The 12700-nt window shown below is 46.2% G+C and overlaps 1 pseudogene, besides 1 other annotated feature; it reads left to right on the top strand.

The window, feature by feature from the left end:
• Positions 801 to 5731, top strand: UBTFL8 (UBTF like 8 (pseudogene); annotated as a pseudogene).
• Positions 7368 to 7513: a silencer, noted in NCBI's record as "fragment chr3:5119481-5119626 (GRCh37/hg19 assembly coordinates)". NCBI's record gives its function as "represses an EF-1alpha promoter that drives an FKBP-Casp9 reporter gene in an ReSE screen in HepG2 liver carcinoma cells {active_cell/tissue: HepG2}" and the evidence as "EXISTENCE:reporter gene assay evidence [ECO:0000049][PMID:32094911]".

The following is a 12700-nucleotide window of genomic DNA, read 5'->3' as shown; positions in this document are numbered from 1 at the left end:
GCTACAGACTGGGAGAAAATATTTGCAAAACATACCCGTGACTAAGGACTTACATCTAGGATATATAAGTAATTCAATAATAAAAAGACAACTAATCCAATTTTTAAAGGGCAGAAGTAACATTTCATAAAAGATATAAAAATAGACAATAGATCAGGCCTGGTGGCTCATGCCTGTAATCCCAGCACTACGGGAGGCCAATGTGGGTGGGTCACTTGAGGTCAGGAGTTCAAGACCAGCCTGGCCAAGATGGTGAAACCCCATTTCTTCTAAAAATACAAAAAAAAAAAGAAAAAAAATAGCCAGGTATGGTGGTAGGTGCCTGTAGTCCCAGCTACTCGAGAGGCTAAGTCAGGAGAATTGCTTGAACCCGGAGGTGGAGGTTGCAGTAAGATGAGATGGCGCCACTGCAAGTCAGCCTGGGTGACAGAGGGAGACTCCGTCTCAAAAAAAAAAAAAAAAAAAGTCAATAAACACATAAAAACATTGAGCGATTTATTCATTCATTCTACAAACATTCACTGAGTATTATACACCAGGAGCTGGGAGCAGTTTTCGTGTGGGAAGGGGAGGGTACATGCTGTTGAGCTGGACTTCAGGAACTGGGGTAAGAGTTAGGAAAAAGAGGAGGGGCACACCCTCATACCCACAGATCCATTAAGTCTAATAGGGTCTTGGCTGGGTCTCTCTGAGAGTGTGGACCTGCGTCCCTCCCTCCCCTTTGGGAGGTGGCAAGGGATAGAAAGCCCCTCATCTCTCAGCCTGCCTGAGCAGGGACTGGTATGTCTTCTAAAGGCAAAGTGACTTTGACCCTGGGTTGCCGCCAGCACAACCAAGGAGGTGGTTGGACAGCTGGAGGATGAACAGAGAAGCCCATCCCCCACTGACCTGGAAATGGCCGCCTTCAAAGGCCAAGACCACCGGTCCCAGGAAGACATGCTGACTTTGCTGGAATGCATAAAGAATAACCTTCCAACCAACAGCAGTTACAAGTTCAAAACCACCTAATCACGTATGGGGACAAAGTAGCATTTAAAGATTTCTGGAGACACAACAAGTTCAATGGGTAGAGATTTCTTTTTTCTTCTTCTTTTCCTTCTCCTTCTTCTTCTTTTTGGCTTTGTTTTGTCTTCTAGACAGGATCTCTTTCTATCACCCAGGCTGGAGTGGACTGGTGTGATCATAGCTGACTGCAGCCTCAAACTCCTGGGCTCATGCAATTTTCCTGCCTCAGTTTCTTAAGTAGCTAGGCCCACAGGTGTGAGTCATCACACTGGGCTAATTAAAAAAAATTTTTTTTTGTAGAGTTGGGGTCAGAAATGGGTGTTGGCCAGGCTAGTCTCAAACTCCCAGCCTTAAGCAATCCTCCCACCTTGGCCTTCCAAAGTACTGGGATTACAGGTATGAGCCACTGTGCCTGGCCCAAATGGGTGAAAATTTCTGACAAGGTGAGGAAGTTGTGCACTTTGACAGAATTGATCCTCAATGCCAGAAACATGTTAAAAATCCTTAAAAAGGTTAAACACAAAAAACTCAAACAACACCCAGACTTCCCAAAGAAGTCCCTGATCCCTCATTTCCACTTCCTCATGGAGAAGCAGGCCAAGTGTGCAAAACTCCACCCTGAGATAAGTAACCTGGACTTCACAAAGATTCTGTCCAAGAAATAAAAGGAGCTTCCTGAGAAGATGAAAATGAAATATATTCAGGACTTTCCAAGGGAGAAACAGAGTTTGAGTGAAACCTGGCTCATTTCAGGAAGGATCATCCCAACTTAATCAAGAATGCCAAGAAGCCAGACATCCCCAAGAAGCTCAACTCCCCCACCCAGCAGCTGTGGTACACCCATCGGAAGAAGGACTTTAGTGTATGTGTGTTTTCGGGGTTTTGTTTTGAGACGAGGTCTCATTCTGTCACCCAGGCTGGAGTGTGGCAGTGCAATCACGGCTCACTGTAGCCTCAACCTCCCGGGCTCAAGCGGTCCTCCCACCTCAGCCTCCCAAGTAGTTGGGACTACAGGCACGCACCACCACACCCAGCTAATTTTTAAACATTTTGTATAGAGACAGGATTTCACTATGTTGCTCAGGCTGGTCTAGAATCCTGGGCTCAAGCGATCCACCCACCTTGGCCCCCCAAAGTGCTGAGCTTACAGGCATGATCCACTGTGCCCGGCCAAGAAGGTGTATTTTAAAGTGTGGCCAGATGCCCCTACAAAGGAGGCGAAGAACTTTCTGGGGAAGTAGTGGTCTCAGCTCTCAGACAGACAAAAAAAAAAAAAAAAAAAAAGGCTGAAATGGATTCTTGAGGCTCCAGGAGCAGTGGAAGTAGTACAAGGAGATCATGCAGACCTATATCCAGGAGCGCCCTGAGCCGAACATCACTGAGGAGGGCCCCACCGAGTCCACCCCTGCCAAGGCTGAACACCAGCTCAAGGACAAATTTGATGATGGGCGACCCAACAAGCCACCTCGGAACAGCTACTCACTGTAGTGCGCAGAGCTCATGGCCAACAAGAAGGATGTTCCCAGCGCGGAGCGCATGATATGCCGTGTGGCCAGCAGTGGAAGCTGCTCTCCCGGAAGGAGAAGGACGCCTATGTGCGACCAGGAAACAAAAGATTATGAGGCGGAACTGCTGCGTTTTTCTCAGGAGACTGCCCCAGGAGGAGCAGCAGCAGGTCCTGTGGGAGGAGAGGGTGCTGAACATCAACAAGAAGCAAGCCACCTGCCCGGCCTCCAAGAAGCCTGTGGGGAAAAGAAGGATCAGATTGTTACTGTGTCTGTGTAGAAAGAAGTAGACATAGGAGACTCCATTTTGTTCTGTACTAAGAAAAATTCTTCTGCCTTGAGATGCTGTTAATCTGTAACCCTACCCCCAACCCTGTGCTCCCTGAAACATGTGCTGTGTCCACTCAGGGTTAAATGGATGAAGGGCTGTGCAGGGTGTGCTTTGTTAAACAAATGCTTGAAGGCAGCATGCTGGTTAAGAGTCATCACCACTCCCTAATCTCAAGTACCCAGAGACACAAAACACTGCGGAAGGCCGCAGGGACCTCTGTCTAGAAAAGCCAGGTATTGTCCAAGGTTTCTCCCCATGTGATAGTCTGAAATATGGCCTCGTGGGAAGGGAAAGACCTGACCTTCCCCCAGCCCAACACCCGTAAAGGGTCTGTGCTGAGGAGGATTAGTAAAAGAGGAAGGAACGCTTCTTTGCAGTTGAGATAAGAGGAAGGCTTCTGTCTCCTGTTCGTCCTGGGCAATGGAATGTCTCGGTGTAAAGCCGATTGTATATTCCATCTACTGAGATAGGGCTGGAGGTGGGACATGCTGGCAGCAATACTGCTCCTTAAGGCATTGAGATGTTTATGTATATGCACATCAAAAGCACAGCACTTTTTTCTTTACCTTGTCTATGATGCAGAGACATTTGTTCACGTGTTTACCTTCTGACCTTCTCTCCACTATTATCCTATTATCCTGCCACGCCTGATAACGATCAATAAATACTAAGGGAACTCAGAGGCCAGTTCGCGCGTGGATCCTCCGTATGCTGAACGCTGGTCCCCTGGGCCCCCTTTTTCTTTCTCTATACTTTGTCTCTGCGTCTCTTTCTTTTCCAAGTCTCTCGTTCCACCTAACGAGAAACACCCACAGGTGTGGAGGGGCAAACCACCCCTTCAGAAGCCAGCCCAGGAAGAGGGTAAGGAAGCCTCTGAGAAGCCCACGCGGCTTCTCGGTGGATGGAAATTGGCAGCCATCTCCTGGACTCAGAAGGAGCACTACAAAAGCTGGCCAATGGGCAGCAAAAGCGTATAAGGTGCACCTGGACCCCTGGGTTAAGGATCTCTGTCCCCCAGTGGGAAAGGGGCAGCAGCTGCAGGAGGAGCAGCCTAGGTTCTTGGAGATCGAGCTGGCCTGCACGCTGGCCCGAAGGTGGAGTGACTTGTCTGAGAAGGCCAAGTACAAGACCCGAGAGCAAGCCAGGCAGGGAGTGCCAGGAACTCAGCAAGCCGCCCAAGTCATCAAGAGAGTACAGATCTGGCAACAGAGCATCATCAGCAACTACCTGGCCTGCTTCAAGAACGACCGGGTGAAGGCCTCGAAAGCCATGGATGTGACCTGGAATCCCAAGGAGGAGAACCTGATGTGAATTGAGAAGACAGCCAAAGACCAAAAGTGATGAGAGAGAGCTGAGTGCGATGTGGGCACTTCCAGCTGCTACAGAGTCTTCCAAGATGATGAAATTCCAGGGAGGAAGCAAGAAGCCTTGTGAACCGGTATCAGAAATTCTTCCAGGAACTGCTGTGCAATGGGAGCTGAAACACCTGCCACAGACAGAGCGCATGGTGGGTGGAAATTGGCAGCCATCTCCTGGAGTCAGAAGGAGCACTACAAAAAGCTGGCCAATGAGCAGCGAAAGTATACAAGGTGCACCTGGACACCTGGGTTAATGGTCTCTGTCCCCAGGACCGCAGAGCCTAGAAAGAGTATATCTCTGATAAATGTAAGAGCATGACCAAGCTGCGGACTCGAACTCCTCTGAGTCCAGACAAACAATCCTGCAGTCCAAGTCAGAGTCCTAGGAAGATGATAAAGAGAACGAGGGCCATGAGGACAAGGATGGAGAAAAAGTGTGAAACCTGGCCCATTTCAGGAAGGATCATTCCAACTTAATCAAGAATGTCAAGAAGTCAGACATTCCCAAGAAGCCCACCCCTCACCCCAACCAGCAGCTGTGGTACACTCATGAGAAGGTGTTTTGTGTACGTGTGTTTTTGTTTTTGTTTTGAGACAGGGTTTCTCTCTGTCGCCCAGGCTGGAGTGCAGTGGTGCAATCATGGCTCACTGCAGCCTCAACTCTCAGGCTCAAGTGATCCTTCCACCTCAGCCTCCCAAGTAGCTGGGACTACAGGCACATGCCACCATGCCTGGCTATGAGAATGGGGATTCCTCTGAGGATGGCAGGAACACCTCTGAGTCCAGCAGCAAGGAAGGGGATGAGAATGAGGAGTATGATGAGGATGAAGATGAGTCCATGGGCAGCAGCTCCAGCTCCTCCTCTTCAGGGGACTCCTCAGGCCCTGAATCCAGCTGAGGCTCAGCCCCACCCTGGGGCAGCCAGGGAGAGCCCAGGAGCTCCCCTCCCCAGCTGGCCACCTTTGTTTCTCCCCCATGTCTATTCCTTTCCCTCTGGCCTCCCCCACTTTCTTTCTTTCTTCCTTTCTTTTTTAAACAAAATGGGGATGGAGGCTGGAGGAGTCCAGGCCAGCACTCTGCAACCTCAGAGACATTAGCCCTGGGGGGGTCCTCCAGGGAGTGCAACCATCAGACTGAGCCAGCCCCAGACCAGCTGCGCCCACCCCACCCACTTCTGCACTTGCGGTTCCAGCACGGACAATGGATGGGGGAGTGGGGATGGGGGTGGGGCTGTCACAAAGAGTTCAATGAGCCCTTGCACACCTGCAGCCCAATGCAAGATGGGGTGGAAGCTTGGGGAGGACCTCTTTCTTCCCCAAGGGGCCTGCCACTGAGACCCCTGAATTATAACTGGAAGCAAGGAACATGTGGGGAGAGGAGGGAGGTATCTTTGAGAAAATAGGCACTGTCCTGATGACCCTCTCAGCTACTCCCTCCAGAACCACTCATGGGGGAGGGGGCAGAAGTTTTTTTTATATAGGTGTATGTATATATTTTGTAAGCTCTGAGTTGTCAATGAGACATTTTCTACCAAGTATATATATATATATATATATATATATATATATATATATACCAGGTGAATAAGGCAACAACTGTTCTCCTAAGGGCCTCATTGTTTGGTGGGGGAGTCAATTAAACAGACTCCTGAAGCACAGTGATGAGCGCTATTATAGAGATAAACTGCTATATAGCTTTTCGTCTACACATACATGCACATACGTCTATACTCACATATGAATGTACACATACTATTTTTTTCTTTTTTAAATTTTTATTTATTTATTTATTTTTGAGACACAGTCTCACTCTGTTGCCCAGGCTGGAGCGCAGTGGCACAGTCTCAGCTTTCTGCAACCTCCACCTCCTGGGTTCAAGTGATTCTCCTGCCCCGGCCTCCTGAGTAGCTGGGATTACAGGTGCACGTCACCACGCCTGGCTAATTTTTGTATTTTTAGTAGAGACGGGGTTTCACCATGTTGGTCAGGCTGGTCTTGAAATCCTGACTTCATGATCTGCCTGCCTTGGCCTCCCAAAGTGCTGGGACTACGGGTGTGAGCCGCCACGCCCAGTCTTATTTTATTTTATTTCTGAGACAGGGTCTCGCTCTGTCACCCAGGTTGGAGTTCAGTGGCACAATCACGGCTCACTGCAACTTCGCCTTCCTAGGCTCAAGCAATCCTCCCACTTCAGCTTCTCAAGTACTTGGAACCACAGTCAAGCCACCACGTCAAGCTAATTTTTGTATTTTTGGGTAGAAATAGGGTTAGTTTCACCATGTTGCCAAGAGGCTGGTCTCAAACTCCTGATCTCAAGCAATGCGCCCGTGTTGGCCTCCCAAAGTGTTGGGATTATAGGCATGAGCCACCGTGCCTGGCCTCTTGGCACTATTTTGATTGGGATGGAACTCAGGGGAAAATTCTTTGGTGCTAGAATGTTCTAAATATCTTCATTTGGATGATTACATTATACTTGATATTTATGTTTATGGTATTAAATTAGACCTCAATAAACATTTTTAAAAGATAAATTACACATGCTTCTGCTCTCATGAATATTATAAAGTCATTAAAAGTACAGCATATTAAAAATAACTACAATAGAAGGCAAAATATGTTCAAAGTGATAGACTTAAGGGAAAGTATGGCTAAGGAGATCTTGGAGGTGAAATCAGCTCCTCATCCGCAACTTACGTGAACTTAGGCCATTGTTTGTTTCTGTAAGCCTCATATCCCTGCTCTATAAAATGTGAGTCATGGTGCTTGCCAGCCAGGATTGTAGTGAGGATTAAATGGAATCCCTTATGGAAGGCACTTAGCGTAGTGCTTGGCACACAGCAGAGTTGAGCAAGTTTCAGCTCGTATTATAATTATTCCTAAAAACCCTAACTCCATGGTAAGTATAAATCCTCACAGCCACAGTAATCCACAAGCCTCAAGTGAGCCTTTCTTCTTTTTATTTTTAATTTTAATTTATTTTTTTTTGAGACAGGGCCTTCTATGTTGCCCATGCTGGTCTCCAACTCCTGGGCTCAAGGGATCCTCCCGCCTCAGCTTCCCAAAGTGCAGAGGTTACAGGCATGAGCCATGGCACCCTGCCATAAGTGAGTCTTTCTTTATTTTTTCCATAGGTCAACTTAATCTCTGAGCTCTTGTTCTGCTGTGTGGCAGAAAATAATATTTTTTCTTTTTGAGATGGAGTCTCTCTGTTGCCCAGGCTGGAGTGCAGTGGCAGAGACTCGGCTCACTGCAACCTCCACCTCCCTGCAACCTCCTTCTCCCTGAGGCAGAAGAAACAATTCTTCTGCCTCAGTCTCCCAAGTAGCTGGGATTATAGGCACCCACCACCATGACCGGCTAATTTTTGTATTTTTAGTAGAGATGGGTTTCACCATGTTGACCAGGCTGGTCTTGAACTCCTAACCTCAAGTGATCTACCCACCTTGGCCTTCCAGTGAGCCACTGCACCTGGCAGAAAATAAAATTTTGTTCTAGATTTTCTCAATCATTTCAGGCTTAAGCTCAATCACTTCATTGTTTCTGCTCCCCAGAGGTGGTTTAGGTTGTGCTGTGGAACTGGGGAAGTGGCTGGTCCTTGCTGACAACTGACGTGCTGTCACTCATTCCATAGAATCCTGTCCTGAAAGGATCTCAGCAATGTCACCCCTTCAGGTTGGCACTTACCAAGAGCAATGGGTCGCCCCAGGCTCCAGCCATCTTTTGGATGCATGATCACACCGAAAGATGTAGGCATGTTTAAGCTTGGCAGGAGCTAAATGCTCTCTTCATTTAAAATAGACAGTAGACATTGTAAAATAATCTTAAGGAAATGCTAGATCCTGCAAAACAGCTATCTGAGTGTTCACCCATGGGAGACACTTCAGTGATCTAAATCCCAAATTGCTGATTTACCACCTGCTTCTCACCACTAATCTCTCGCTGGTTGCCCAGTGATTCCATCCTCCAAAACCAGTTACCAAGAAGGTGATGCATAGACATTTTAATAAATTGAAAGCTGGATTAGCACATCACTAAACACTTTCTTTTTCTGCATAAGAGAATCAAAAAAGTGAGTGGTGCAAGATGAATGTGGGAGGTAAGGAGAAAGGATTATAATGATAACAGCAATAAAAGTTAAATTCATAATATACTAGGCACTGTACTAAGAAGTTTTCATTCATTAGCTCATTTAATCCTCACAATGACCAAATAAGGTAGTACAATAATAATCTCCACTTTATAGATGAAAGTATAGAGGTTTTTTTTTTTTTTTTTGAAACGGAGTCTCACTCTGTCACCCATGCTGGAGTGCAGTGGTGTGATCTCAGCTCACTGCAACCTCCGCCTCCTGGGCTCAAGCGATTCTCCTGCCTCAGCCTCCCAAGTATCTGGGATTACAGGCGTGTGCCAGCACGCCCAGCTAATGTTTTTGTATTTTCAGTAGAGACGGGGTTTCACCGTGTTGGCCAGGCTGGTCTCGAACTCTTGACCTCAGGTGATCCACCCACCTCGGCCTCCCCAAGTGCTGGGATTATAGGCGTGAGCCACCATGCCCGGCAAGTATAGAGGATTTTACGTGAGCATGAAACACACTCTGCTCCTGTTTAAGCTACCTTTATTTTGGGTCTCTGTATCTCACAGCCAAATCTAATCTGACACAGTAATATGATATCTTGTTTTTACTAGCTAAACCCATTTTCTTCTGTATCTTGTCTTGTTTTTGTTAGCTAGATTCATGTCTTCTCCTTTATCGTCATTATGATGCCATTGTTGCTCAGTATGCGTCCAACAGGTGTACATCAATCATGGAAAAAGCACAATCAGTTGGGATTTTTAAAACAACTAACTTTAAAAAAAAAGACTTTTTTAGAGCATTTTGAGGTGCACAGCAAAATTGAGTGGAAAGTACAGAGAGTTCCCATATACCTCTTGCCCCCCTACTCATGGCTTCCACCATCATCAAGCAGAGTGGTACCTTTGCTACAATCAATGAACCATCATTAATACATCATTTTCAATCAAAGTCCATAGTTTATATTAGGGGAAACTCTTCATGTTATACACTCTATGGGTTTTGGCAAATATATCATGCCATGTATCCACCAATATAATGTCATACAGAATCATTTCACTGCCTAAAACCCCTGTGCTCCACCTATTCATTCCTCCCTTCCCTCAAACCCCTGGCAACTACTGATCATTTTACTGTCTCTATCGTTTTGCCTTTTCTAGAATGCCGTATAGTTAGTATCATCAGCTAGGACTTTTTTTTTTTTTTTTTTTTTTGAGGCAGAATCTCGCTCTGTTACTCAGGCTGGAGTGCAGTGGTGCAAACTTGGCTCACTGCAAGCTCCGCCTCCCAGGTTCAAGCGATTCTCCTGCCTCAGCCTTCCAAGTAGCTGGGATTACAGGCATGTGCCACCATGCCCAGCTAATTTTTGTATTTTTAGTAGAGACAGGATTTTGCCATGTTGCGCAGGCTGGTCTCCAACTCCTGACCTCAAGTAATTGGCCCGCCTCAGCCTCCCAAAGTGCTGGGAGTACAGGCGAGAGCCACCTCGCCTGGCCATCAGCTAAGCTTTTTAAAGAGACTTTAATAAGTAACTATTTACAGAAGTGTGGGCAGGCCTAAAGGAAGCCACCAGGGATGCCTGGGCACTCAGGGACTAGTAAGTAGAGAAGGCATCACTACCCCCAGGCCCCCAGGCCAGAAGATGTAACCAGAATCTGGTTAAGAGTTAGTTCTATGCAGAGGATCCATCCCATGGAGGCTAAAGTCACAGAGGGTTGCAGCCACTGCCCAATCCAGGCCAAGTCACGGCAGATGCAGGAGGAAGAAATAACCTGACCCATCTCTTTCCAAGCTTCAACCTCCTGCTGGTGCCTACCATTGGCCAACCAGAAACCAGTCCCTAGAGATCAGCCTCCCAGGGTGCACAGCAAGCTGGAGTGCAACTTCCCAGGCTCAAGCAATCTTCCCACCTCAGCCTCCCAAATAGCTGGGACAATAGGCCTGTGCCACCATACCTGGGTAAGTATTTTATTTTTATTTTTGTAGAAATGAAGACTCACTACAAAAATAGCAGTCATTGCCCAGGCTGTCTTGAACTTCTGGGCTCAAGCAATCCTCCCACCTCAGCTTCTCAAAGTGCTGGATTACAGACATGAGCCACCACGCCCGGCCAGCACTAAAAATTTGGTTCACGTTATGAACCCAACTATTTGGTAAAGGAAGAAGTATGTTTCTATTAAAAAAAAATGTGGCCTCCATTTTTAATCAGTTACTAGTATGAAGACACTTTGCAGTAAATGTACATTTCAGTGTTTACATTGAAAGCACAAGCCAGTTAGCCTGTTCCCCTGCTCTGTTGGGTGTTTGTTTGTTTTGAGACAGAGTCTTGCTCTGTCGCCCAGGCTGGAGTGCAGTGGCACAATCTTGGCTCACTGCAACCTCCACCTCCCCAGGTTCAAGTGATTCTCCTGTCTCAGCCCCCTGAGTAGCTGGGATTGCAAGCACCCGCCACCACGCCCAGCTAATTTTTGTATTTTCAGTAGAGACAGGGTTTCACCATGTTGGTCAGCTGGTCTCGAGCTCCTGACTTCGTGATCCTCCCTCCTCAGCCTCCCAAAGTGCTGAGATTACAGGTATAAGCCACCGCGTCTGTCCTCTCGTACTCTGTTTATCAAGAGTTAAGTGTGTCTCTGTGTGAAGATATACTGCAAGCCTCTATGACTTTTCTGCTGGTTCTCATATTTAGAAGAAGAACCAAAATTAGCGAAAAGGAGCAGGCAACTACCATGTAACAAAGAGATTTTGTTTGTTTTGCATTTGGGAAACAGACCAGAAGTGACAGTGAGGCAGTAGGGATGGGGGAATTGTCTGTCTCAAAATATGCCTGTCATACGGCAAGATCTCAGACTCTTAGAGATGAAAAATACCTTTAAAGAAACACACACACATGCTCAAGTCCTATGTTTCTCAAGCCCTTTTAGCTGTGAAACACCTTGTTTGCCCACTTACAAACACATTTTGTTTTTTTTTAAGAGACAGTGTCTCTCCCTCTGTCACCCACCCAGGCCAGGATGCAGTGGCACCATCATAGCTCACAGCAGCCTCAAACTCCTGGGCTCAAGAGATCCTCCCACCTCAGCCTCTACAGGTAGGTGTGTGCCACCACACCCAGATAATTTTTTTTTTTAATTTTTATAGAGACAGGGTCATGATTTATTGCCTAGGCTGGTCTTGAACTCCTGGCTTCAAGCGGTCCTCCCACCTTGTCCTCCCAAAGTGCTGGGGTTACAGGCATGAACCACCATGCCCAGTCTAGAAGAATGTTAGTAGTTCACATTTATTAAGTACATGACTATGTGCCTGGTATTGTGCTTTGTACTTTACCTGGATTATCGCATTTCATCTGGACCACAATTTTACAAGAGAGCTGTTCTTATTTCTTCCATTTTACAGAGAAAGATACAAGAGGTCAGAGAGATGGCCCAAGGTCATATTGCCAGTGACTGTGGGAGATAAGATTTGAACTCAGGCGTCCTGACCCCTCAACCTGTGTCTCCACTTTCAGATAAAAGCCAAATTGCTTTGTTAAAGCAGAGGGTAGAACCCCAGAATCCTGATCACTCTCTCCTTGACCATGTCCTTGTTCGTGGCCACCAGGGGTACAGTCTGAAAACCCATTCAGTCCAACACTTCATTTGATAACTTAATTGATTAAACTGATTAATTCAATAAATAGAAGAACAATCACTCAGTTCTCAAACACTACCCATCTCTTATTTTTCTCTTTTCCTTGATATAATTAGACACCGTTTTTCATAGCTATCATCAATACACACATGTAATTTCATCTTGGGCTCTTTTTAACATAAATCTCTATTTTCTGTAAACATTTCATGTATAAACCCAGACATAAATCTTACCGATTTTAACAACTGCTTATTATGTTAACGGAGCACTTGATGAGAATTTCCTAACCTGTATTCCATGAAAGCCTACCTCCAGGTGATATGAATAAGTATCTGCAATAAAAAGGGGTTTTATACATTTTTACATTTATATTATACATTATATATATATATTTATGATAAGTTTGGGGAACAATACACATACTCTTCTCACAGTATGTTACTCTGTGAGTATATTACTCCCTTTCAATACCCCCACCAACATGCACATTAGAATATTAGAAACACTGAGAAGTCACACAAGAAAGCAACTGGCATAAACAGGCTTAGCAAACTGATCTGATGGTGAAATCTTTTTGGAGACACCCTTACTGAGCAGATTTACTGCCCAATAGACTCCAGTTGATGGCATGACACCCTACGCCAGGTTTGCTGGATTCTTTCTACATGCATGCGAGTGCCCTTACTTTACAGATGAGGAAGCTAACACTCAAGTCACCCAGCCAGCTGGCAGCACTGGTTAGGACCATAACTCAGGTCTCCTAACTTTTGCAGAAATCCATGTGACAACATTGTCTGGGCTCT

Source organism: Homo sapiens, chromosome 3 (genome assembly GCF_000001405.40).
Source record: "Homo sapiens chromosome 3, GRCh38.p14 Primary Assembly".
In the NCBI taxonomy this organism is placed as follows: domain Eukaryota; kingdom Metazoa; phylum Chordata; class Mammalia; order Primates; family Hominidae; genus Homo; species Homo sapiens.
This window is presented reverse-complemented; position numbering and strand designations above follow the sequence as displayed.